The 27,906-nt window shown below is 35.5% G+C and overlaps 2 protein-coding genes across 15 annotated transcripts in view; one reads left to right on the top strand and one right to left on the bottom strand.

The window, feature by feature from the left end:
• Window positions 1–11,391, top strand: part of MYEF2 (myelin expression factor 2) — a 43,664-nt gene extending 32,273 nt beyond the window's left edge. For all 11 annotated transcript variants that reach the window (XM_017022287.2, XM_005254424.5, XM_017022285.2 and 8 more), the window contains one exon: window positions 2,952–11,391. In XM_017022287.2, coding sequence (XP_016877776.1) covers window positions 2,952–2,960 — 9 coding nt within the window. In that variant the 3' untranslated portion in view covers window positions 2,961–11,391. The remainder of the gene's footprint in view (window positions 1–2,951) is intronic.
• Window positions 3,351–25,033, bottom strand: SLC24A5 (solute carrier family 24 member 5). Of its 4 annotated transcripts, none has more exons than NM_205850.3 (9): window positions 24,858–25,033; window positions 23,987–24,166; window positions 11,682–11,765; window positions 11,485–11,588; window positions 11,039–11,139; window positions 9,060–9,340; window positions 6,848–7,054; window positions 4,809–4,910; window positions 3,351–3,994 (listed from the first exon to the last, which is right to left on the bottom strand). In NM_205850.3, exons 1-9 carry the CDS (start codon window positions 24,976–24,978, stop codon window positions 3,672–3,674), a joined length of 1,503 nt encoding a protein of 500 aa, NP_995322.1. In that variant the 5' UTR covers window positions 24,979–25,033; the 3' UTR covers window positions 3,351–3,671. The 4 variants fall into 4 exon arrangements, with proteins under 4 accessions (NP_995322.1, XP_047288351.1, XP_047288350.1 ...); XM_047432395.1 differs by lacking the exons at window positions 23,987–24,166; window positions 24,858–25,033 and adding exons at window positions 17,460–17,543; window positions 18,610–18,800; XM_047432394.1 differs by having other exon boundaries at window positions 11,485–11,765.

Raw genomic sequence — 27,906 nt, 5'->3', positions numbered from 1 at the left:
TTCCATTATGTAGTATTTCTACATCAGTGTGCTTGTCAACTGCATGGAAAATGGAGGCTTATGGTAGATTTTATTGATTAAAGTACTTGCTGCTTCAAGCATTTTGAGTGGACTTTAGAATAACTTAACAGTAAAATTGCAGTAATAGTACAAATGATATATGATGAGCATTCATTGATAGGCTCTGTCTTTTGTTTGTAAAGAAACAACAGAATACTTTGCTTTTCTATCCCTTATATCCTTATTATGTTTTCTTATCGTAGAATTTCTGATTTTCCTGTTTTCATCCGTGGTTGTGTTAACTTCATGTAGGCAGTAGATTTTATTGAACATCCTTTAATTTGGTCTATTTTTACATGTGTTTTTATACTGGCATATCCCAAAATATACCCCACAAGATGTTTATAGACTGGGTTAAATAAAACAGAAAGGTTTCTTTTACTGTGGGACAAATCCTTTTTATTACTAGTATATGTAACAGCAATATGTTTGATTATTCTGTGATACTGATTTCTCATGGCATACTATTTTGTCCTGTGCTGTTGCCAAAATATCAGTCCTGTTTTTGTTTTCTTGGAATCGTACAAGATTATTAGATATTTAACTTAGTTGAGGAAGTTCTCAGAGCATGTAAAAAGTCAGGCAGGTTTGATTTTAATCAGCTATTTGAAACTAATTTTTTTCTCCTCAATTATTTATCTTTAGAAAAGAAAATATTTCAGTTGGTGTTTTTATAGGATCAGGAAGAAACTTAGAACATCTATAACTCTTTCTGGTTCTGTACTGCTGGGATTCTTTTTAGGGGAGCAGTCTAACCATAAAACAAATATTTATGGGCTACTGTCCATATAGCTTGAACATCAGAACTGTGAGGAAGTTGAAGTATCTTAGCTGAGGGAACTTGTCAACTAGAAAATTTTTGAGGTCATTGTGAGGTCAGGAATTTGGAGGTCTGAGTGCTGATTTCTAAACTGAAAGAGGCAATTTAAGAGAAAAACAAAAAAGAGAAACTGTCCTGAAAGATCGAGAGACAGATTATGCAAGAAATAGTGACATATTTTCTTTTGAGGTTTTGAAGATTTCTTGCTTAGGTGAACTTTACTATTGCTGATAAATCTATGATGGGATACTTAAGAAAAACTCTACGTTTTTAGGTAAAATTAAGATAAGGAAGAACCTTTAACCTTAAAAGCCCTTGAAAATCCTCCACAGTTCTTTTCAAAATAACTGTAAGGTGCTGTCATTTACCAACAGCTTCTTTAATTAAACTTGCTTTTTTTCAGGTACCAGCATTCAAGATATTAAGAGGACTCTGGAAATTGTGCTGCATTTATCTTTAAATTGTTTTAAAATGTGTTTTCCAGTTTCATTTTATGATGTTTATTAGAAAGTGTGATTGCTATGTTTTTGCTTTTTTTCCCCATTTCATTCCAGTTGTGGGCTAAATATTATTTGGATCTACTTTAACCATTATCATGTAATTTCTCTGGAGATTAGCCTATTTTATAACTTTTCAGAACACATTTAAAGACTATCTGGCCTGTGTAACAAGATACTGGTTTTGTCTCAGTATGACATTTATTATCCTAGACCATTTAATTAGTGTTTAGTAGGTGAGCAGTTGACTACCAGTTGGTTTTCAAAAAGAAATGCAGTAATAGGGAGTGGATGAAAAAGTGAAAGTATAAAGTAGTCCATCATGTTATAGGTAAGAGATTATTCAGATCAAGATTTCAACAGAAAAAAATCTTCCTTATGGATTGATATTAAAGTTTGATCTTATCATCTGGAAAGGGCTTATGCAGTTTTTCGACAGGTCCTCTTGCTTTTACCTTTCTCCTTTTTTTTCTCCTCCCTTCCTAGAACTAAATATGTCTGGCTGTCTGATTTGGTTGCCAGACTAAAATTAGCCCATAGTGATCTGGCAACTATAATATTTAAAGTCTTCTAACTTGATTTGTTTTGACATGTACATCTAGTGGGGAGGGAAATATTTTGGTAAGTAGTCACACCCTAAATTTATGACCTGTTTGGATTGAGTGACCATGTATTCCAGTTTGCCTGGGGATAGTCTCCCTTTACATCTGTTACTTATGTGTAATTATTGATAACTCCCCCTTTTACTCTCAAAAGTGTTCTATTGTAGTGATGAATTCTTATGGCCACTTTTTATTTTGATAAATGGTATTGATTTACTTCAAATACGAGTCTCTAGAGTTAGCAATGATATTATAACTGCATAAGGACAGGTTTCTGGTTTTCTTCCTCTTTCCTGAAGCTTCTCTGATATTCTCCTTGACATCACTGTTTTTACCTTTATTGATTTAAATCTGTGCTATCTCTTCCCATGACTATTTCCGTAGCATATTTGGTGCCATTCTTAAGACTTTGAGCTCAAACTGTGATATTGAATAAACGGCTTTGGCACTGTGGTTGCAAAGCAGAATTAGTGGGGCCCTTTGTAGCCTGATAGAAATTAGATTTCTGGTCAGTTGCACTTGTTTGCAGGGGATAAAGGAGTGAAATGAGGATAAAAGGGAAGGAAGAGAGATTAGGGAGACTGAGCAGTAAGCAACCGTTTATTCTAAAAATAATTTTGTTTAAATATGTAAGTTTGTTATAGGGCATGGTGAGTTGGCGGCATTTTGTGCTAGCTTGACTTATTGCTTATAAAATTAACCTCAGGAATTAGGGATTTAACATAAATAAAATACATTAAATCCTAAGAAAATCTTTCCTGATTCCAATTTTGTATATTCTAATATGTATATATTTATTACTTTGTATGAATTGTATTTTAGTCCAAATATAATGCTTATATTATTTATTTTAAATAATTAATGTTTTTAATCAAATTAATTATCACAATTGGCTATGAGGAATTTCAAACCTATAAAGTGAAATAGAACTTATTTAAACTGACTAGTAATTCTGTAACTTTTATTTTACAGGTCATGTAATGTTTGCAGAAATAAAAATGGAGAATGGAAAGTCAAAAGGCTGTGGAACAGTCAGATTTGACTCCCCAGAATCAGCTGAAAAAGCCTGCAGAATAATGAATGGCATAAAAATCAGTGGCAGAGAAATTGATGTTCGCTTGGATCGTAATGCATAATTTCAAGCCATGGTTGGAACATTCCTACATCTGTTTTGCTGAATCTCCTAGTAAAAGTCATTTTTTTAAAGTAATATTGTATGCTTACAAAAGCTGTAAAAATGAACTTTTAAAACTCCCACCAGCTTTTAACAGTATAATGTTAAAAATATACTGTAATTTTTGTTAATCTCAAGTTTGGGTTTTTAAAGACAGCAAGTCTGGTCATTCAGTTTAAATGAATGGTTATACTGTTTTTAATGAAATAAGCCATTTTCTTGTTGTTTTCAGTACTACATAGTTGGATTTGTTTGTTCTAGTTTCTCCAGTTTTTGTCAACTTATTGTATGGTAAAACATAGATTTTTTCCCCCCAAACTTCTGTTTTATAATATGTAATTTTTCATGAAAAGAAAGGGCTCAGAAAAATTAGGATGTGATTTTGGTTGGTTTTAAATTACTGTAAGTTTTAGATTCTAAGGTTCAAGATTTTTAAAATTTGATTTAAATGAAGAAATGGATTTTTCTCTCTGCCCCTCCCTGCCATTCATATTTTCTGCATAACACTATTAATAATATCAACCTCCACAGCCCCTTATTTTATTATTTCCAATAATTCCAAGTTCATATAGAACTGATAATGTAGCAAGCCCCAAGTATGATAATAGGCAGACTATTCCCAACTTTCTGTCTAGTTTCCAGCCATTGAAGTGAACTGCTAAAAAAAGAAAAATAATTGAAATGTTGAGAGAGATGGTTATGTAAGTTAGTCCTCTGCTGTTTACTTCTGCAGGAGCTGATCCATTTATAAATGCAGTTTTAATAAACCATGGAATACCAAGGCACAACATATCAAACACATTGGATCCCACGATGTTAGACATAGCCATATCTCCTTTCCCTACAAAAGAAAAGCATACTGTTAAAATGTGCTTACCAATACTGTGTTTTATTAATAATCTTCATAAGAAAAGAAACACTGGATACTTTTTTGTTGTTGATTCGTTTTGAAAAATTGTTGTTAGAGCAAAAGTCTTACTGAATTTGTATTTTTAAATTTTTCTTGGGTTAGTATTTAAAGTCTTAACATTTATTTAATAATTATATTTATTAAACCATTTTTCAATAAGGTATATAGCTTATTTGTTGCTTTTCATTGTAATTTAACATGGTTAATGGTTAATTACTATTTAACACACATTTCAAATGAATATTATTTGGGGGATTAGATTGAGTGAAATTAACCTGCTATTAAATAGTAAACTTTTCCTCTGGAGTCACTTTTTTCCCCCTTCAAAGTATGTTACTGAGGAAGTAAACTTTTTTTTTTTTTTTTGGTTTTTGTTTTTTGAGACACAGTCTCGCTCTGTTGCCCAGGCTGCTGGAGTGCCGTGGCGCAATCTCGGCTCACTGCAACCTCCGCCTCCTGGATTCAAACAATTCTCCTGCCTCAGCCTCCTGAGTAGCTGGGATTACAGGCACATGCCACCACGCCCGGCTAATTTTTGTATTTTTAGTAGAGACTGGGTTTCACCATGTTGGTCAGGCTGGTCTCAAACTCCTGACCTCGTGATCCACCCGCCTCGGCCTCCCAAAATCCTGGGATTACAGGCGCGAGCCACCACACCCGGCTGGAAGTAAACATTTTTAAAGCTACTTTTACTCATTCTAGCCTTGTAGAATGACCATTGCAGCTTGAGGGACCTAGTTCTTACCTTTTCTTGCAACCAACACACTTGCAATTGTGTCTGGTATGCTTGTTCCTGCTGCTAATAAAGTAAGGCCCATTACTGTATCGGGAATTTCTAGTGTTTCCCCTGTAATAAACAGATATTTCAAGTTACAAATCTTAAAGATTCACTAACCATCCTTTGCAGTTATTTTGGATATTTCCTTCGTGAACAAAAATAAAATAGGCACATTTAGAATTCAGAGCCAATATGTGCTTGCTTATTAGTTTTTTAGCTAGCAACATATTTGAATCAGGCTGGTAATTCGGGTAACCCAGGTAGCACAGATTTTTAATGACATATCTAAAGATACGTAACAGCTAAAATTCTGCCAGTGAGAAATTTTCCTGTTTGATATTCTTACAAAAGATGTTTATGTCCACCATTATCTCATCAGGGCTGTGCTGAATATTTGATAATGAGACTGATCATTCCGCTTTTTCTTTCTTAAAAATATTAGTCAGAGTTAAGCAAATTAATTATAGCTATCTTTAAGCTATAAATGTGTTAACATGTATATATACCATTTATTATGTTCTACTTTAGTGATATACCTTAATTTAGTGGGCTTTGGCAGGGCGGGGGAGGGGGAACGTTCATTAATCTCTGAGGAAAACAAAACCTGTTTTCTACTTGAGTCTAACATATGGTCCCAATTTATTAATACTTCTGTTAAATTTGATGTCAGGTCAACATTTTTCAGAAATGTATTTATTCTCAGAAACAGAACCAGAGAGAAGTTAAACAAAAGGTTATGTAACTGTTCCTTTAATGTTGTAATTGAAAACTTGGTTTAGCGTCTTTTTTTTCTTTCTCTTTTTTTTTCTTAAAATGCCAACTAAAATAATTAGAAAGTAGCTTATTTATTGCATGCTTATACATTGATATTGGAATTGGAATTGGTTGTTAATTTCTGTTACTGGCTTTGCTAGAATTCATATGTGCATAAATAACACTAATATTTATCATCTTGGGGGCTGTTCTGTGATCTATTACATGATTTTTGCTCTCTTTTTATTTTTCTAGTATCAAATGTGTTCTGGCTGAGTGAATTTGGATAGATATAATATGCAAGCTAATTGGACTTTTTCATTTTTCTCATTAAAAAAAGGAAGAAGTAGTCCACTTTTTGCTAGCATACTATTCTGAGACTTACATTAATTTGGGAAAAGTCAAGGGTCAACAAATTTTTGTGTCTGTGAGGGGCCAGATAGTAATTATTTAGGCTTTGCAGGCTGTGTGATTTCTGTTGCAGTTATTCAGCTTTGCCAATGTAGTGTGAAAACAATCATAGATAATATGTAAAACCTTACTAATAAAAACAAGCTGGGTTATGTTGGCACACAGGCAGTAGTTTGTTCACCTCTGCTGTAAGTTAATTTGGGTTAACCTTTGTAGGAGAAATTACAGATTATTTTTGTCTTTGTTCATAGTTTTTTTGTTTAGGGACTGTAGTGGATTATGGCCAAGCAGCAGTAGCTAGTTAAGTCTTAATCATGAAGGTAGTAGAAACCTAGAATAAAATTATTATGCCCTTTTCACTCATTTCATAATATGTTTGTATTGCCGTGTTGAAAAGCCAAATAAAATACAATCCAGTTAAGCAGTGAGCACCCATTGTTTTCCCAAAAATAGAGCTCCTTGCTTTGTTTTTGTTTTTTTGTTCTTTTTTTTTTTTATTATGGAATGGAATTCAATATAAAGAGTTTATTGTGGACCCCATGGAATGTGATTAAATTATTAGCATAATAAAAAGACATCCTATGAATTTGATTTCATTTATAAGATCTCTTGAATTGTACCCCAGGCTAAATAACAGTGGAAAATACAGTTTATATATAATATGCAACTCACAAACTCCAGTGATCTTGTTATAGTAATACTTAATCATTTTGTAAATGGTACTAATCTTCAATCTTGCTGAAAAGAAATTTGCTGTGTAGCTAGACTACTTTGAGTGAACATATGCAATTTGTTCTTATATGAATATTTTCAAGTTGTGCTATTGTACTTAAAATACATACCAGTTATTGTGACCATCCAAACCAGGATATATGTAAATGCGGATATCCATATTGCAGACATGAAAAAGGTTATCACAAAGTAGTTTTTCCAAAACTTTTTTCTACAATCTGGTGTGGTTAGAAAAAGTAATGTAATAATAGGAAGGGATAATACCCAAAAAATTCTTTTTAAGTCTGCTTCAGGCATGTTGAAAACACTTGGTGGATCTGTTGTGGAAAAAGTAAACACTTTTGAGTTTTCTCAAATGGCTAATTAAGTTAGAAATGCCTATTTAGAAAGTTATATTGAAATAAATTAGCTGTATCAGTTTTTAAAAGGCTGTTTAAAACATTTGAGTACCTCATTACTGATATTGCTGGTGAAAAGAAACTAATTGAAACTTTAGGGCAGACAATGTAAGATGTGATACTCCGCATTTCTTTATTTGGGGCCTTAAATCTATAAAAATGTCTTGGGCCATTCGTTAAATATATTGTAGATAGTGTTTATGAAGTGTCAATTGGACATCTCCTGTGGATTGTCTTCAGTAACTTTTTGCTTAAGGGATTAACCTGGTTTCTAACCTAGCTACTCCAGTTGTCTCCACTTCATAATATTGATGATGCCTCTGCCTGCCCTATGTACCAGATAATGTATACTTAAAGAATATAAAATAATCATAGCATAATTTTTTTATTAAGTCGCATATCCTAATTCTTAGTGGAAGTGGTTTTTTTGTCCTATTTCATTACTATTTTATTTATTAAATTCAGACTTTACCACAGTTCATAGAAATAACCTTAAAGTAGGAGGTAGTATATCATCTAAAGTACAATTTATGAAAATTGAGTATATTTCTTTATTCAATTTAATTTAGTAGAAGGATAATGATAATATATTGGATAAAAATTCGAATTCAAAAATGTTCAAAATTTGTATGGCATTTACAAAATAATGTAACAATTGGATGAAATCATGTTAAAACTAATGTTAGTACAACAACTCATAAAAAGTTTGCCAAGCTTCAACCAATGTGCCATTAAGTAATATTAGATATAATTTTAACATAATCAAAGAATTTGGATTGGTTCTTTTGCGTTTCTTATTATAAACTTAATTTGGAGAGGCATACCTCTTATACCTGAAAGAGTAGAAGCTAAAATTTTTGTAAAAAGGGGGAAAAGTCATGTTTTAAAATTTTAAGTAGTAGATTAGAATAAAACCCTCCTAAAGGCTTAATTAAATTTAGAATCTGTTTTGGACAACCACTTTATAAAAAGGTAACCCATGAACTTATAATTTTGACCATAGCTGAATTTTCTGACTTCCTACTGAACCTATTTACCTAAAAGTTTTGCTATTGCTTTAAACAATGGTAAACCTCAGCTGTTTTTCTTCTTTCTTCCAAACCAGCCCCTTTTTCTGAGTTCCCAGTTTTAATAAGTGCTGTTCCCATTTTCTCAGTCAAGATTAAAACATAGGAGGTGTCTTTGTTCCTTTTTCTGGCCCCATATAGTCTTGGTGATGCTTCCTTCATATAGTCTCACATCTGTTCTCATTTATTCCCACCACTTTCACTTGGTCTAGGCACCTAGTAAACACATCAGCTGTTGTAATAGCCTCTCTTACAGACCTCTTTGTCTCTTCATATTTTAGTTCGGTGAACATCATTTTGGGTAACATTACTAAGATAACAGTTCTAATAATTTCTCTCCTCAGAAACCTTCCAAGATTCTTAAAATAGCATTTAAGATTCTTCTTATCCTATTCCTTTCTACCTTTCCTCTCCTTCCTTCCTATGCACATACTGTGCTCTATGTGTTTTATCTCTGCATCATTTATGGAATGAAGACCTCAGTAGCTGCTACTTATTGGTCATAACATATGTCATTAGTTAAAGTCTTTCCTGTCCAGCAAGGCCCAATTTAAATGCTCCCTTCTCTGTGAAAATCTCCTATCTGTCCTCACCACATTTTGGCAATCTGTCCCATTTGTGAACCACAGTCACACTTTATTTTTCTCTTTTTATGGTACTTAACGTTCATACTTTAGCTATTTTGTATTTCCTGTGATATTGGAAGTTCCTTAAAGGTAGGGACTTGGTCTTTATCATTTCTGAGTCTTCACAGTCTTTTTTACATAAAAAGCACACAATACTTGCTGAATTGAAATGAAATTTTAAAGTTTTTCCTTTGCGAATAGACTTAATAATGGGCAAGATTTAGTGATTACCTTCAGAAACCTGACTAAGGCCATGTAAACTTATAGAGAGCTGAGAGTAGCCAGAATCTTCATAAAATATTCCACTATCAGTTCTTGATTGCCGACGAATGAATGGTTGACCTTCATCTTCCCAGCCCATCAGTGGCTGTTGTTCACTTCTCTCCATAGCTTTGGCAAGACAGGCGCAGCAAGGACTGCATTTCTTTATAATATATTGGTTAATTTTAATGTCAAAACACAGCACCAAAACATACAATCCATATATCAAAAGCAGTAAAGCCCCTTCATACCTACAAAAGAGAAATTTGTGTTTTTAAATTAAAAGTGAAAGTCATTTTAGAGTTGATAGCTTTTGGGCAGTATCTATTGAATGATTTTCTAACAAAAGTAGCCATAGAACAATCAAACATTTCTAGATATTTTTTGTTTTGTAGATTTGTCCAGACTTGATTACAGCATTATTATGTTTATTGATAAAAGCTGGACACTTCTGTGTTGTTTTTTTTTTTTTAAAAACAAGATCAACAAACTCGTTTTTACTTGTAGATTCCTTCCAAATGATAGGTATAAAAATGCAAGGAAAATGATAATTGGAGATTTTCAAAATAAATGTAAAATTAATAAATAGTGGTGAACATTTTCTGCCTCAGCTCATTGGCATAATACATTCCCCAACATACATAATAATTATAAAATAATATAGTAACTGTTAAGTTATTTCAACTGTCCAAGTTTTCTGGTATAGGAACTTTGTGTAAAATATTACTCAGATATGGGAGGCTTAGGCTGGGATTTTTCAGTTTGTCATACAGAGCATTTTTAATGATTTGAATGTAGCTGAATTTGGCTTACAGTCACAAGAAAACAAGATGTTCTAAAATATAAAATTATACCCTTGGAACCAAGAACTGTTTCCCTGTACTCTGGCAGTTAGCTAATGCCATCACATTTGAACCTTGCATTTACCTTTTATAGCCAGTGAATCTCTGTCTGCTGTATCTTAAAGAACAGTTCTGATTTCCCTAATGGAGGAAGAATTAGCTTGGATACTCTCACAGTCACTATCCCTTACAGACAACTGCTGAGTTCTAGAAGGATTTCTATTCTACCAACACAGTGTCTTAGGGAGACGGACTAGAGGACAGGATGATTAGTTTAGAAATTATGCTTCTGGCTAGGTTTTAAGTTTCTTGATAGCAGGTATTACGCCGTGCTGCAAGGTTATGGTTCTCCAGATGGACACCATTACATTTTTTTTTTTTCATATTTTTCTGGTGTCCTCTGGAGTTATGCAATGTATATAACCTGTGTAGCTGTGTTTTACATTTCATTATCCCTTATGATATCTAGCATAGTGAGAAGGACCTAGTAGGTGCCTGCTGCTTACTAGTTGAAAAAGTTAGTATCTGTCCACTCAGTCACCACCTTTTTCATTTTCTTGGACCAGCTAGGCACAGAGAGATTGTAAGGAAAGCAAACAATTTTTAATATGAAAAGCTAAGCATTGTTATTTCTTAGAGGAAGGCTATAGTTTCTCCTGAATGAGCATCAGAAGTTTGGAGGAATTTAAAAAGACTTCTTTTACTTCCTCTACCATCCTTCTCCAGTCTTTTGTGGCCATGAACACTTCTAACCAAGGCAAGGTGAGCAGTAACCCAGCAGAAGAAAAAGTCAACTGTTGTGGCTTTAATGGACAACAGGAGTTGGGAAACTTTCTGAATAGGCAGCCAGTGGGGAGAAGGAAAAGTGGTGGTCTCCAGTGACTAGTGAGAGAAAAAAGGAGACTGTGAAGTGATTAAGAAGAAATTGCAAACTAGTGAGAAGAACTCAATCAGCAATTGTGATGAGGTTAACTCACAGACCTGTTGGAATATGGTATAGAAGTGGCAGATTAAGTGACTGAAATAACATTTCTGAAAAAAAATTACTGAACCATCAGAAATTCATAAAATCTCTAATTTTTACATAAGAATTATTTTCAAGCTTACCAGTAAACTTGGTTGTCATATATTATACCAAGAACTGCTGCTGCACTAATTGTGTACGCTGCACAGTCTCTGAATAGGGGCCAACATGATAGTGTTGAGACCTGTAATATGGTAAGTTATTATTTCCATTACATTGTAACTTCTTCAAGTACAATCCTTAGTATAATACTAAAATTGTTTATATATTTGTAGTTAAATATTGTTATCTTTTGCATATTGCTTAGAGAAAAAAATGTAAAATTGTGTTCTAACTTACACAGACTTTCATAAATCTGACCAAGAGCTATTTGTGGATTAACATTAAATTGAATACATGTTGTTTTTCTACTGATTAATAAATTTGATTGCACATATTATTAGTGCCCTGTTGTCCATCCCAGACGACGAACAGTTATCTTTAGAATTTTTTAAGACAATACATTTTGTTGAATGGTTTTGTTACATACCGTATTAGATAGCAAACCACAGGCAGCACAGATGCCAAGGAGATTATAAATTGCAGATCCAAGGATGGTGCTAATGCCAATATCTCCCTTTGTGATAAATACACCTATGTGCAAGATAGTACCAGCTAAGTTAGTGTTAACTTGAAGAAAATAAAAATCACACTGAGTAAGCAAGAAGTATAAGGAGCAATATTTACCTAGGAAAGCAGTAACTAATTCAGGAGCTGAACTGCCCGCTGCCATGAAAGTTGTGCCTGCAACATCCTGAGACAATCCAAGGGCTGAACATAAATGAAATGATTGTTATGCCTAATAAAGTGAAAGAGTATGTCTTTACAACTAAACACAATAGATACTCAAAGCTACAGCTTCACATAAAACCACTATTAAACTAGAAAAATAAAATACACAGATTAAAAGAGTCCAATGTTTTGCTTCTTTATGACTTCATTACTTAATGCTTCTATAGAAAGGGTGAGGGAAGGCCAGGAGACTAAAGGGAATATCCTGAGTGCCAAACATAGGGTTATTTGGAACCCAGAAAAGCGTTCAGAGGCAGAGGGCTTGTAGGTGAGTAGCAACAGCATGGCTTTGAAAATTAAGATAATTTGGAAATCCTAACCCAACTTCAAAGAAGAAAAAAAAGATGTTAGTTTTTTAGATGTATAATGCAGCTGAACAGAGCTTGTTCACAAATTTGCACACATCTGTTAAGTCATCTCAACTGTCCGTTCAAATTTTCTGGTATAGGACCTTTGTGTAAAATATTATTCGGAATATGGGAGGCTTTGGCTGGGGTTTTTCAGTTTGCCATGCAGAGAATTTTTGATGATTTGAATGTAGCTGAATTTGGCTGATAGTCACAAGAAAACTGGATATTCTAAAAAAATTTGCAGTTTCAACGTTGTCTAATTACAAATGAGAGAAAATAACTAGATTTAATATTGTGTAGTCTATTGATTTAAAACATGGATCTATTAAAATTTTGCTCTAGAATAGGAATATAAGAAAATACGTAATACTACAGTTTGTTTCTATCCACCAGGCTTACAAGCATGCAAGTTCATAAACTTTAGGGACTGACAAGATGAGAGTCACTAAATTAAGAAGTTTTTTGTCCTTTCAATTTTAGGGCCAAGGGACCTACCATGGGAAGGAACAGAGAAAGCCGTAGGCCGAGATAGGTTTGCATAAGAAATCCCCAACCAGGCTTTACTGATAAACTAAAAACTAGCTAATAGAGGTAGCATGCCATACATTAAATTATCTACCCTAGGTCACAAAGTTAGTATCGAAGTCAGAACTAGAATTTGGGTTTTCAAGACTTGATGGCAACTCTTTGTTGATGTTTATTGTCGTTTACTATACCTATTGGTTTTTGACGCTTCAGTCTTCCCAGACCCTCAAACTCTGGTGTGCTTGGTTGACTCCCTGTCACAGGTGGTTGGTATTTCCTTATTCTTGTCTCTGGGACCACCTGTTGCCTGCACTCAGGTGAACCTTGTTCTGTAGTCTGCTGGGACGGCATTTGAGCTTACTGATTCCTTTTGTGTTTCTTGGTGTGGCAGATTGTATATTACAATAATAGTTATGGTATTTTTCTGCTCCACGTAGTTTTCCAGAACCCTTTAATCCCCTACATAAAAGGTGATACGACTTCCTTACTATCATCACAGGACATTTCCCTTAAGCTACGACATGGTAAGTCCTGCTACTTTGTTGAAACCCCCATACTGGAGAAACCTCATGAAAAGCCCATATAGAAATAGAGATGTCTAAGGAATTGCTGCTGTTTCAGTCCCCAGATTTTGAAAATTCCCAGCCTAGGCACCAGACATATGAGAGAGTGAGCTCTCAGGTGATTCTAGCTCCATCCTCTGACCATAGCTGCACAAGAGACCCTGAGTGAGAACTACCTAGCTTAGCTCAGTAAACACCCAAAACCGTGAAAGTAATTGTTGTTTTTAGCCACTAGTTTTGGGGTGATAGTTAAGTCATCTGGTGGTTCATTTATTTGTTGTATTTATTGAGTACTTACTATATGCCAGATGCTTTTTTAATGTGCTAGTAATAAGGCAGTGAACAAAATAGACAAATATTCCTGCTCTCACAGAGCTTTACTTTTAGTAAGGGGAAGCAGATAAGATAAGCAAAATAGGTATGATGTTAGAGATAAGTTGCAAGGAGTAAAGGCAGGGAGGGGAGAGAGAGAAAAATGTCAGAGAGGAAGGATTGAAATTTTAGATTGGATAACCAGAAAGGACTTAATTGAGAAGGTAACTAAAGACCTTGAAATGAGTCATTTGTATGCCTGGGCTAAAAGTATTCTATGCAGAATAAATGACTGCAAAGGTATTGAGGTAGAGGCTAGTCTGTGTGGTGAAGAAACAGAAGACCTGCATGTCTAGAATGAAGAGTGTCAAGGGAAAGCAGTAGGTGATGAGATTAAAGGTAATAGGCAGATCATGTAAGGTCTTGTGGATCCTAATAAGGACTTTGGCTTTCATTTTGAAAGATGTGGGAAGTACTTAGAAATCTGTCACCTACATACTGTCTGCTGATGATACCAGCTCCAGTCATTAATTTTATCCCTTGGGGTAATTTGGTCTGAGAGATCCAACCAGCCCTAATCCAAGCTATTTTGACACCTGAAAAACCATTGTGAAAAGTTCTCTTGGGGTGGTTAGAATTATTTAGGCCAGGCCCTCTATTCTGTTTGCCTTTGGTCATGTTGCTTGTTGAACATCTACCTGCAGTGACTAGTGAAGGGTGAGAAATAAATGATTTTTGTAGTTTACATTGTATCCTAGTGCATTTTGTGTGTATAAAGGAATGCCTGAGACTGGGTAGTTTATAAAGAAAAAAAGGTTTATTTGGCTCATGATTCCTCTGTCTGGAAAAGTTCAAGATTGGGCATCTGGTGAGAGCCTCAGGCTGCTTCCACTCATGGTGGAAGATAGAGGGGGAACTGGTGTGTGCAGAGATCACATGGTGAGAGAGGAAGTAAGAGAGAGAGGTGGGTGGTGCCAGGCTCTTTTAAACAACCAGCTCTGTAAAGGAACTAAAGAGAGAGAACTCACCCCCTAGGAAAGGATTAACCCCCAGGATCTAAACACCTCCCATTACTCCCCACCTCCAACATTTAGGATCAAATTTCAACATGAGATTTGGAGTGGACAAATACCCAAACCATAGCATATTTCCTAGTATTTATTTTCCTGATTAGAGTGATTACATACATATACACATATACATGCATACGTATAATCACTCTAACCAGTGTGTGTATATATGTATAGACACACATATATACTATATTCTTATTACAATTCTGATGTGTACAACTGACCATAATATTTAAAACATAGAACAAAAAGATAAAGGAGATGGCTCTGTAATTAACTGTTTTTCATTTTAGAAATGAAGTAAATAATATATTCATGGTGTACAATGCACTCCCATATACATAATTTAATATCAACTATCATGAAATATGAGTGGTGGTATTCCATTTTACAGATAAACAGGCCCAGGAGGTAAAATAATGTCACATGGATTGCAAGGATCTGAAATGTTGAGAGTTAGGGCATAAACCCTGAGCCTGTTGATTCTAAGCCCAATGCTGTTTTTATTTTACCACAGAAACCCAATATAAGAATGGCACTTAGGCCCATTAGAACATGGTAGGTGACTGAATCTTTTTTGTTTACACTTTGTGGCACTGGCACCATAATCACCCTCATTCTATTCTTTCCTGGTGGAAAAAATAGTTACCGAGAGCCAAGAATACTTTGGAAGTTTTCCGGCACATTCTAGAGAATTTATAGATTTAGTGCTGCTGGATATTACCATGAATTGTCTTCCCAAATCAAAACAGGGCTAGATAATAAATAGGTGGAAGAAATTGAAAAAGAACAGAATGCCTTATCTTAAAATAACTGCCCAAACAGTGCAGCTGAATACTGAACAATCTTCATTTAGCACTAGCTGAAGAATGCTTCATTAGAAAACTCAGTCTCAAGGAAGGACAACAGGTGGTCCTTTAGAAAAGTTTCAGTCCCAAAAGGCAGTAAGAATAAAGCTTGTTCCTATTCACTGCACTCAAATTATGAAAGGAAAGATTTTGTATAGATGGATGGATAAAACTTAAAGATATTTTAACAAATTATATCTTAATGTTCTAAGAATATTTTATAAAATGTTTTATACCTCTGAACTTTAGAATAGATTGGCTTTGTCTTCTTCGACCTTTTGGGTGAAATTTCTTTCTGCTATAGTTTATTATTAAGGATAAATTTTTCTAGTTTTTTCCTCCCATAGCTATTATTCTTTTTTTCCTCTATTACTCTAAAGGAATAATCACATATCCTGGAAGATATAGTAGAAATGTTCAACTTGAGTTTTCTTTATAGGTTTAGATATCAACACATTGTTTATATAAAGTACAACTTCGTGGTAATGAGCTGATTATGAAAATTCATCAGACTTTTTCTTAAATGTGTTTTTTTCTGTGATGTCATGTTAGAAAGTTTATAATGGTTTTTGAAAATCTCCTTCTGGAAATATGATATAGTCGGAAGAATATTAAACTAAAACTGAGACCTGGATTCAGCCCTGCCAGTAACTTGATAGGAGACTTAAGTTATTTAGACAAGCCTCATTTTGCCATCTGTGAAATGGAGGATCAGACCACACAATCTTTAAGGTATTATCTTTTTTTTTCAATCTTTACTCAAAGTTATAGAATGTGAATTCTATGCTTTAAGACTCTACACCACTTTTTATTTTTAATTAAATTTCTTTTATAATACCTACCCCCCACCCCCAAGTCTACATTACCAAAATTTAGACGATGAAGGGGAAAAATAGAGGAATACTTTTATCATAGTATTTTAACCACTCCTGTCATTTCAATGTGTCTAGTCCTTTTCACAATGCACATTTTAATATAGTTACAGCCATAGGCTATATGCAATTTGGCGTCCTGTGGCATCATTTTTAAAAGTCTGCAAACTTTTGTGCTTTGTGAATGGATTAGAGTTTTAGAAACAATCAAAAGTCTATCAGACCCAACTCTAGTGACCATGGTGAGTAGTCATGCTGAGTCATACAATTTAGGGTCCAAAATGAAGTGCAACAGCAAACTGATGTCTTTTTTGTGATTTGCAAAACTGGTTCTGAAATTAATTTCAAATGTATTCCTAGAAATATTTTGAGGGAATAAATGCCTAGAGGGGAAAAATAGTTACTGAGAGTCAGGAATACATGACTGCATGTATATGCTCTGGGATGTTTTTAACAATAAGTAAGATAACTTGATTACCTTACATTTACCAACTCATATTTTGTCTGAGCAATGAAAGAATGAATTCTGAAACCTGTAATGCTTTTAAAGGCTGATTCCACCGAAAAAGACTCTCCCTATCCCCAATCTAACAGCTGTAATATTACAGTGGATTTCTACCTGCTCTTAGCCTATCTTATGAAGTGTACCTCTTTTATACAAGACACTTTACCTCCAAACCTAACAATTACTTCATTTTTTGTTCCATAACTTTCCCAAGGTCACATAGGTAATAAATGCAGAGGTAGGAAGGGAACCTAGATCTTTTTGACACCAAGAAGCTGCCCTTTCAGCTATCCATGTGGGCAAAGTAAAGAGATAATACATAACTTTATTATTATTTCTTGTTCCTGCAATAGCATCGTGGTAAAATACTGAGTACTTAGCACTTATTTAGATCTGTATGCCTGGTGTAGATTTAGATGCAATCCAAAGGGACCACAATTTAGATCAGAGAAAAAAGAACAACAAAGAGGATGAAATACTCTTAGGAGAATGAGTGTGTAGCAGGGAGGAAGCACTATTCTTAGATTCTTTGTTCTTTAGTAAAGCTTTTGCTTCTGTAAATTTCATGAGGATTAAAAATCAAACAATCCCCTGAAACTGTAGGCTATCCAAATGCCATACTCACAGAATTATTTGAATCCTAATTTTTTCAATTTAGAAACAATTCTGCCTGGAATTAAAACTTGCATTTCTTTCTTATTGCCTATGTCTGAAATGTAAAGTAGAACATAAGCAAATATTAGTCCAAAGCAGAGTAAGTGAAAATTTTTTAAAATAAAAAGTAAATATTTAAGTATATTTCCCCCAAACCTTATTAAGATCATTTTCATATAAGACGTGTTATAATTCGAAGGTATCAGTGTGGTAGAGAGGTTATATCTAATTGAATGGTATATTAGTGTAAATTTTTTTTTAAAGTTTCATAGCTGGCTCACTGTGGAATTTGGACTCTATCCAGTGACCAATCTTAAGGGGTTCTCAGAGTTTTCTATGTATATAGTTTGGAAAAATATAAAGAAACCTGCCCAGAACAGTGGTTCAATACCTCTGAGATCCCCATTACATATCAAAAGGATATTTTGTTTTCATTTTATATCATCTTTTGTGTTTCTAAAATTAAACTGCTTAGAGAGATTAGACATACTGGTCCTATTTGGTCTTTAAATGAATATAGTTTATATTATATTTTTAATTTGTATTATATATTGGCTTATATTTAAATTATTTAAATTTAAATTATATTTAAAAGTGACTTTTTAAACAATAAAAGATGAAGTAAAATGGTATAGATGCTAATGTAAATGAAATAAAAGGAACTTTAAACAGAATATTTTTTAATTTTAATTTTTATTTATTTATTTATTTTGAGATGGAGTCTTGCTCTGTTGCCCAGGCTGGAGGGCAGTGGCATGATCTCAGCTGACTGCAAACTCTGCCTCCCGGGTTTAAGCAATTCTCCTGCCTCAGCCTCCCGAGGAGCTGGGATTACAGGCCAGGTGCCTGCCACCACGACTGGCTAATATTTGTATTTTTGTAGAAATGGGGTTTTACCATGTTGGCCAGGCTGGTCTCGAACTCCTGGGCTCAGGTAATCCACCCACCTTGGACTCCCAAAGCACTGGGATTACAGGTGTAAGCCACTGCTCCTGGCCTAAACAGAATATTCCAGAGATATTTAAGGTATACTTTAAAGTTGTCACATGGCTTATTAGATAAAATAACTAGTTTAATAAGCTTACTTCCTACCTTGTCAAATAGACCTTACTTTTATTTACCTTAAATTTGGTGTTCAAGTTCTAGCAGATGCACCGTAGATTTGGTTATTTGCTCCAAAAATACTTAAATAGGCTTTGGTATTCCCCATCTCCACTTTCATCTTTCCTGAGTAAAGGATTCTAACCTCTGTAGTCTGTTCTTATGTAACAATGAACATTCAGTGAATGTTTTCTATGTGCTAGGTACTTGTGTAAGCAGTTCACTTGTGTTTCTTCGTGCACTTGTCACACAGCACTATGAACTGAAAGTTGTAATCACCCTGTTTCACAGCTGAGATAACAGAGGCAGAGGGAAGTTAGGAACTTTGCCCAAGGTCACAGTGCTAGCAAATGGCAGAGCCGGGATTTGAACCTGGGCTATCTGGCTCCAGGGTGGGCACTTTCAATTGTCTCTCTATAAGAGTGTGGCACTAGAGCATATGACGGCTGTGTCCTTCCCCTCCAGCTGTCCGGGGATTCTCAGCATTTGTCATAGACCATTCAGCAACTATATCAATATATAGAGAGAAAAAAATTGGAAAAAGCCCCAAGCAAACAATACCAGATAGGACTACAAAGTGATGTAACTAAATTCACAAACTAAGCAAGGGAATCTTAGACACAGGTTTCTAAGTCAGGCTTACATGAATGATCAGAGACGACAAAGGCTCCCTCCTTTTCCTTAGTCATTTGGATTCCTCTCTCACTGTGTCTCTGTCTCTCTTCCTGTCTCTCATACACACCCCTCAGGGTATCCATCCGGGTAACATTCTAGAGTAGCACAACTGGTTAGGATGAGGAAGCTCTCCTTAGTTTATTCCTCACCCCATTACCTCTAGCTCCTTTAGCTCTAACTTGGGCTTGGATAATGCTCCTCTTCTGATCACATCTTTAACTCTTTTCCCAGAATCTCCATTCTGTTTCCCAGCCCAGAAGCCAAGGCTTTCCTCCAAACGTGAAATGCCCTGGACAACTAGAGGGTGATATATTTGTGTCCCCTCTACAACACCAATTAATTTCATTTCAGCCCTCTGTGTTCAGAGAATTATTAGCTTCTTTTCCTGTAGAACCAAATGGACAGAAAAAGAAGATAGGATTACAGGAAGGGGGCATAGCAACAGCATTTTCTTTTATTGGCTCCATACAGTTAAGATGGTGGTAAAGTGTCTGAGGTTGCCTCGTAGAGATAGGTGCTTTTCCAGCTTTTCCAGTGTTCGAGGGTAGAGGAGAGGGTGTGTGACTTTTATGATCATGAGCAGAGCAAGGAGAAGGAAAAAAAATCCTTGCTGGAAGCCTCTGGTGGAGGCAGCTCTAGGAGACCAAGACCAACATACATAGGTCCAAAAGAGAAAGAGCACTGGTTTGACCGAGCGGGGGCCCTGCCAGAGCACCAGCAAGAGGCTCTGCCCTCTTCCACTTCCAGCTCATCGCTGCACGGAGATGACAATCCTGAGCCTCTTCTAGTCTTCACCTGGCTAAAGATCCTGCTGTTGGCCAAATGAGCCACTGTGGTGATTTGAGGAGTGAGTGGGGCTGGGGTGGGACAGGGGCCTGCCAATCCTTCCATTGTATTCTAGGTTGGAACTCAGTATACATACCCCACAAGACATTATAGCCTCATCTATGATGATGAAGTTCCACTGTACTACATTATGATCTCATGATCTTGGACAAAATGTTTAGGCCTGGGAGCTTATGGATAAGTGTCTATAGCATTGATTTACAATCACCTATAGGTTGCCAAAGGTCCAAAATGATTTTTGTAAATAATTCAATGTATTCTCTTTATTTTGTAATATACTTCCTCCATAGTAACTGTGGGTATTTGATATTTTTTTGTCAAAATTTTCAGTGCTCTCGAGAGGAAAATTTCTTGTAAGATGGTTCAAATAGAACAGTTCTGAAACAACTATATTCTAGCAACGAATCTCAAACAAGGATGTGTAAAGTTTTATCATGTAGCAGTTGAGATCATGCTTGAGTTTTGGCATTAGAGAGATCAGGACTTTCTCTGTGTGGCTATGTGGTCATGAGAAATTACCTACCCTCCCAGCCTTGGCTTCCTCATCAGTAAAACCAAAACATTAGTCCCTATTTTGTAAGGTTTTTGGGAAGACTAAGTGAAACCATATATATATATATAAAATCATATATATTATATAAACCATATATTATTATAAGATATATATCTTTCATCTATAATTTTATCATAAGTAACTGATAAAAAATAACACTGTAGTACATTGTGGAATACTTTAGTAAACTGTTTTGAGGGTTATGTTGATAACTATTAGTTGACAAAATGGGTGGAACTATTATGACTCAATGCTCATCAAGAAACTGGGGAAAGGCAAAGCACTTGCAGACTTTTGAAGCCCGTTTCTGCAGATGTGAAGAAATTTCAGGAAAATTGTTTTTTATTGCTGATGTCATAATTTGGATAAGACCATGCTAGAACTTGAAAAGAGAAGTGACAGAATTAATTTATAAGCATTTAAAAATGAATTGAGCTAGCACTATTTCTATCTCATTTTGTTGCCAGTATTTTCAATACTCAAGATGAGGGTCAATTTTTAACAGCTGAAGATTTGGCAGTGGCATGGATATTCATCAATCACACATCTGTAAGAACTACTGTATTTCAGGGCAGAGAGACTCACTTGAGAAATGCATGTTTGCTGATGATCTTTCAAAGTAATTTCACAAGGTGCACGTTGGAAGTCACTTAGACATATTAAGTCACTTAATGAACAATATTTTGAAGTCATAATCTAAATTTTAATGCAGTAGTGTCTTCTACAGGGCTAGAAAGGTTTTTTATTTATTTTTCACTTCTCCTAAGATAATTTTTATAATAAAATTCTTGATAGATTTATTTTTTCAGTCATGTCATTGTTCAGTTAAGTCATTAGAAATGGAAATTATTCCTTACAATTTAAATTTCTGTGTTTTATATGATTAACATTTTTAATTTTTCAATTTTTAGTTTTTTACATTTTTCTAATTAAAAGTGCAGTATTGGCATAAGAATGTACAAAAAGGTTATTAGAACAGAGTTGGGAGCATAGAGACAGATCTACATCTATATAAGAACTTAGTATATGAAAATTGATCAACTGTTGGAAAAAAGAACATTACATCCTATAGCAAGACAGATTCTTAGTGGAAAAAATAAATAAATTTTAAAAAATCCTGCATGTAGAATAAAATATGATGATTGTTGTGACCTATGGATAAAAATGCCTTTCTAGTTATAAAACCAAAAGGAGAACCATAAAGAAAAAGATTTACAAATTTACTTAAAATATTTAAACTTCAAACTTCAATGTGATAAACACAAAATGCAAAATCAAACAAACCATGAAAAAGCATATGATATGAAGTAATACTAGAAAAAGGGTTAATATCCTTATATATTTTTAAAGTCTTGAAAATCAATAAGAAAGAGACAGAATACCCCTGATATAATATGGGCAAAAAAACACAAAAGGAAAACCATAAAATAAAATAAACATATAAAATATTCACCCTCATGGATAATAAGATAAACACAAATTTTATAAAATAATGGGAGGTTAAAGCAACCAAGGATATTTCACATATTTTTCATGGTTTTCTGGAATGGATGCTTAAGGAGGTATAAGTAGGCACACCTTTTGTGGGATGCCTTTTGCAAATATATATCATAAGACTTAAAATATCCACATCTCTGCCTCTTAATCAGGAAATGATCAGAGAGGTGTGCAAAGATTTTATACAATTATGGGCATGACATTAACACAAAAAACTTAAAACAGGCCAAATGTCCAATGAGAGTAATAGTTTTAAATTTTATGATAAATTTCTACTGGGTGCCTACTATGTGTAAAAACCAGTGTCAGACGCTCAAATCATTTATAGAATCATGGACTATCATGATATCATTAAAAATAATGTTTTTGAAGAATGTTTAATAATATTGGAAAATGTGCACTATAAAATATTGTGTGAAAAAAAGGAAAGATCCCAAACTGTATATAAAGCAAGATTCAAAAGATTTAAAGGAAATATACCAAATGGTAACTGTGTAGATGGAAATACAGGTGATTTTATCTTTCTCTTCTATTTTTCTTGTATTTCATTAATCTAAGTAAAACTGTTAAATAATTTAATCTTTATTAAAGAAAATATCAATTATATATAAGATGTAACGTCAAGATAAAAGCATATGTTTGTATCTACTTAAGAAAAATTGTAATAAATTAGGCTAATCTATCATATATATATATATTATATATTTTCATTAAACAGATAGGTGTTGAGTGCCTCTGCTATCACCAGTTACTGTTTTAGAGCCTACAGATTCTGGTATACTGCAGTGAACAAGGGAGGAAATAATTCGCTTTGCATTTCAGCAGGGGTTGGGGGTGGGGTGATGGGAAAAGGGAGAGTTTACATTCATGCTCTTTCCCTTTATAAAGAAATGGCAGCAATGTGTGTGTGTCGGGGGCGGTGGGTGGAGGTTGAGGACGCTGCTGTTACTGTGCAGTCTTGTGAATATGCAATAGGAAACCCAATCCTTAATTTTGACATTGCTTTTTGCTGTAATGTGGGCATGCTCAGCCAAATAAATAACCAAACATGAGACCAAGTCTAGAAACACACTTTTGCTCATATGGCACAGAACATAACTGCTATCCTGGTGTTTAGGGACCAGTGCACCAGTGAAGGTCTATGCTCAGAATTCTGGGCAACATATACTGCTGAAGGAACAGAGCTCAGAGGCTTGGACCGGCTGATCTTATTTTCAGAAACCAATAAATGGAGCTCTTAATTTTTAATAACTGATTTTACAGTCATCTGATGTCTAAGGTCACTTAGGATACAGGACTTATTCATCTATCTGTTTATTGGTTCTTAAATATCAATTAATTTCCTTAATGGTAGGATGCTGGGAAAGGAAGATGGGGAGGGTGGTCCTTAATTGCATTTGTTTATCACTTTTTATAATCAAAGTTATAGCGAGCTTAGAGTAAAAATAAAAAAAAGTTTTTTGAAGCATAAAATGGCAAATATTAGGAGTTTCATTGTATTAGGAGCGCACACAAAGTACATACAAGTGAAATCTTGGAACAGTTCTTATAACAAACATCCAGGCAGTAGACAAACTAGAGATTTCTGGAAATAGGCAGAAAAATAATAACTGCCGGGTTCTAACTTGAAGAAACTCTGATTCACATTAACTACCAAGAGAAACCACACTCGACCAGTTCCTTAAGACACGGGACCCCACAACAAGAAGCTGGTGCTCTGCAACCAGTTGAGAAGTACAGGACAGCTGCTGAGCTATTTCAAAGACAGTCATATCTGTGTGGCACACTCTCCCAGAAGGTTACAGGGCAACTTTCCAGCCACTTACATTCACTGATGATTTCCAGGGAGGGTAGGAAGTATTCATCACAGACAATAGATATGGCCATGAACATGTAAACGATAATTAGGAAATAGATTATGATGCCTCCATCTCTGCGCTCCTGTCTCGTGAAAAACCCTTCGGGAAACTCCGATGATGGAGAAATAACACATTGGGTGCTATTTCCTGTTAAGGAAAAGGAGGTGAAAGTTTGAAGAGTTTGGAGTCACACATTCCAAGCCCACAGAGAGCTTCCTTAAGAAATCTGTAAGTGTGGGGTAACCGGGTGGAATTTTAAGGACCCACTGAAAATGTATAAAGCGCTTCTGAATATAACACAGTTGTAGAGTTTTCAAAAAATTTTTTTGGGGGACTGAAAAGAGATATCTTAATGAAATATGTTGATGATGGTGAAGAATTAAAAAGAGGAAATCATGAAATCACTCCTCCTTGTTTTTATTTCTGAATCTCTCTTCCCCAAGTAGAAACTGTATCTCTGATACATGAAGATTTCTATTGTTTATACAATTTCGTTTTCTCATTGCAGAGCCTAAATTGTTCACAGGCCTGCAAAGAATCCATCCACTGTTGCAGAGAGAATTTCTAAGATGAAAGATTTTTTGTTTTCACCAAAAAGTCTCCAAGAACAAAAACTGGAGACTTGGCCTACTATGATCTCTGTGAATTACTTTGGAGTATATTTAAGAACTTATTTGAAGGATCAAAAGTGTTTGATATCTTTTTAAATGCTAAAATTCAGAAGCGTAAGTAAAAGTGAGCCCATTGAGAATTTTCCTCTTTTTGTCCCTTCATCTGTATGTGGTAGCAGCAGCAGCAGCTGCTGCTGCAGAGCTAACTGACCCCAATGTCCACCTACCTGTGGCCCTTGGGAGACGTTGGGGCAGGGAGGTCCCTGAGAGAGGCAGATGTGCAGTGGCCCACAGGATGCCGAGCAACAGAGCCCTTCTCGCCCATGTTTGGCCCCCTTTTGTCTGCATTTCTGCTGTGCTCTTACTGCAGCGTGCAGCTTCAGGAAGGGAGAAGAGGAGGATTAAACTGGATCATGTGAGGAGTCTCCTTCCTGCCCAATACCCTGCCCAGGGCACATCTCAGCAAGGCCAGCACAGGAGAAAGGGCGAGTGTAGCCAGTCAAGCTTCTCTGATCAGGAGACCCAATCTCCAGGGAGGCCGGAGGAGACGGAGGAGAGCTGACAACCATTGTCTATAGCTATTTCCATGGCCTACAGTCTCTAAGGGCAGATTAAGGCAGCTTGTACTTTATGAAAATGTGTGGTTTTATTTAATGTCTTCATACTGGCTCTGCTTTTGACTTTCTCTAGATTTGTAAAAAGTTGGGTTTGCAACTGCTTCCCATCTCTCTCCAGCCCTTTCCCCTAGAAGTTGTTTGGGTTGATATTAATATATGTACATGCTTTGGCTAGCTCGGCATCCTTTCATATTTCTGTTTTAGCCTCTCATCTTCATCTTCAGTTAGGGCCAAAGGGAGAAAGGCCAGTTAGGGCATCATTGCAATCGTCTAGCTGAGAAATGATAGTGGCTTGAACCAAGGCTGTGGCAACGGGGATGGAGAGTAGCTGACAGTTTCAAGAATTATTGAGATGGAGTGGATGCTATTTGATCATTGATAGGCTGTGCTTTCTGCCAGAGGGAGCTATCTAAAATGCAAATTTGACGTACAAGGTAGTGTTTAAATATAGACTACTATCTTCCCTATGCTAACATTTATGAGGCTTGCCAAGATATTTAGAACTTTTGGCAGTGTAGTAACCTATAGCTAATAGCACAGGCTATGGAACCAGACCACATGATTTGAGCCCTAGCACTGCTACTTACTAGTTATGTGACTTTTGGCATGTTATTTAACCTTTCTGCTACACAGTTCTGCTATCTGTAAAACAGGGATCACCTGTATTTGGGTTGTGGTAAGAATTACAAAAATGAACGCAAATAATTTGCTCAGAACGACCTCTGGCTGACGTCTTCATTCCTTCCTTTCTTTTTCTTTGTTTTGTTTGTTTTCCTTCCTTCCTCCCTTCCTTCCTTCCTTCCTTCCTTCCTTTCTTCTCCTCCTCCTCTTTCTCTCCTTCCTTCCTTCCCTCCTTCCTTCCTTTCCTTCGTTCCTTCTTTCTTTCTTCCTTTCTTTTCTTTTCTTTTTCTTTCTTTCTTTCTTTCTTTCTTTCTTTCTTTCTTTCTTTTTCTTTCTCTTTCTTTCTTTCAATTGAAATAGAAGCGTTTTTGTTCATAAAAATTTTTGTAGTTTTGCAACTTTCATGGTTCCTTTGCTTTGCAGAAAAAACACAAAAATTGATATGCCTAGTAAGTTTTCTATTTAGAAACTAGCTTTATCTGATGGAACGGAGTAAGTTGCTTCCTGATGTTTGTGATCTTGGGTCGGAAGAAAGTCTCAAAAACTACTTTTTTTTGTGGGAATTGGTATCCATTATAAACCTCTCCAAAACTGTCATTTCTAGGAACTAGATATTCAGATGTATGGTGTGATTGTGAGGCTGTGATGATGAGTCACCAAAGCATAGCCCAGTATAGAGCAGATTCTCAACAAGCAGAGTTCCAGCTGTCTACACTCGCAGGAAGCAGCACCCTGATCACTGGGGAGTGGCCTACATGCCAGCTAGCTAAGACTAAGGGAAGAGGTCGTTTAGTTTTATGCTGAGTGGAAGTGTCTTGCGAGCCTCTCCTCTTCAACACACAGTACTTCAATCAATTCATAAAACATCATAAACAAATAAAATACCAATAATATAAAAAGCTCAAACCCAAAGTGAAAGCTTCCAATGCACATTGTCAGCTAATTCAAGAGAGAGAGCAAGTGTCTGAAGGTACGAGCCAATTGCTATGGAACAGCAGAAGTGCCTTGCACATAGTTAGTACTCCATCAACATTTGCAGATCGATTACTTTGCAATGAATGGTCTTGAAAACACATTGCCAGAACATGCATATGCTTGGTCTAAACAAATTACCATCTAAATATGGATTTACCACGAAAAGAGATTTTAGGAGATGAATTAGATTTGCTTCACACACATTCTTCATTTTGCAAAAGCATCTTAAAGATCTTTTTCTTGTAAAATAACACCCAGATAAAACTACATACATGAATAGTTTACTATATTATTATTATTTTCATAAGATGAACACCCTTGTAAACATCCAAGGTCAAGAAATAGAAATTTGCCAGCCACCCACATATACACCATGGAATACTATGCAGCCATAAAAAAGGATGAGTTCATGTCCTTTGTAGAGACATGGATGAAGCTGGAAACCATCATTCTCAGCAAACTATCGCAAGGACAAAAAACCAAACACCGCATGTTCTCCCTCATAGGTGGGAACTGAACAATGAGAACACATGGACACAGGAAGGGGAACATCACACACTGGGGACTGTTGTGGGGTGGGGGGAGGGGGGAGGGATAGCATTAGGAGATATACCTAATGTAAATGACGAGTTAATGGGTGCAGCACACCAACATGGCACATGTATACATATGTAACAAACCTGCGTGTTGTGCACATGTACCCTAGAACTTAAAGTATAATAAAAATAAGTAAATAAATAAGTTTGCCAGCCCCCCTAGAAGCCCCTTTGTGAGCCTCAGTCTCCTCTCCTCCCTTTCTCTGAAAGTAACCACTCTCCTGACTTGTAATCATTTCCTCATGTGTGTAGTTTTAATAGTCCGTGATGTAATCCAGTGCATCTTTATGATGCTATAACTTAATTTTGCCTTAAAAAGGTATCTTTTAACTTTCTTTTAGTCTATAGTCCTACCTTTTTTTTCTCTTCTGTTTCTTATAACTTGTCTCTGGGAAAAGCCCAGGGCATTTGATCTGTAGAGTTTCCTACAGTTTTGATTTTGATGACGTGTCCTTGTGATATAGTTC

This window comes from Homo sapiens, chromosome 15 (genome assembly GCF_000001405.40).
Source record: "Homo sapiens chromosome 15, GRCh38.p14 Primary Assembly".
Taxonomy (NCBI): domain Eukaryota; kingdom Metazoa; phylum Chordata; class Mammalia; order Primates; family Hominidae; genus Homo; species Homo sapiens.
This window is presented reverse-complemented; position numbering and strand designations above follow the sequence as displayed.

Bases quoted from the DNA above. Each gene is read 5' to 3' on its own strand.
- SLC24A5 (XM_047432394.1), bottom strand. From the start codon at position 24,978: ATGCAGACAAAAGGGGGCCAAACATGGGCGAGAAGGGCTCTGTTGCTC. The intron at 7,055-9,059 runs GTAATCACTAAA...TTTCCACAACAG, and splicing joins CCTTAGTCAGGTTTCTGAAG to ATCCACCAAGTGTTTTCAAC. The intron at 4,911-6,847 runs GTATGTATTTTA...TGTTTATTACAG, and splicing joins TTGGATGGTCACAATAACTG to GGGAAACACTAGAAATTCCC.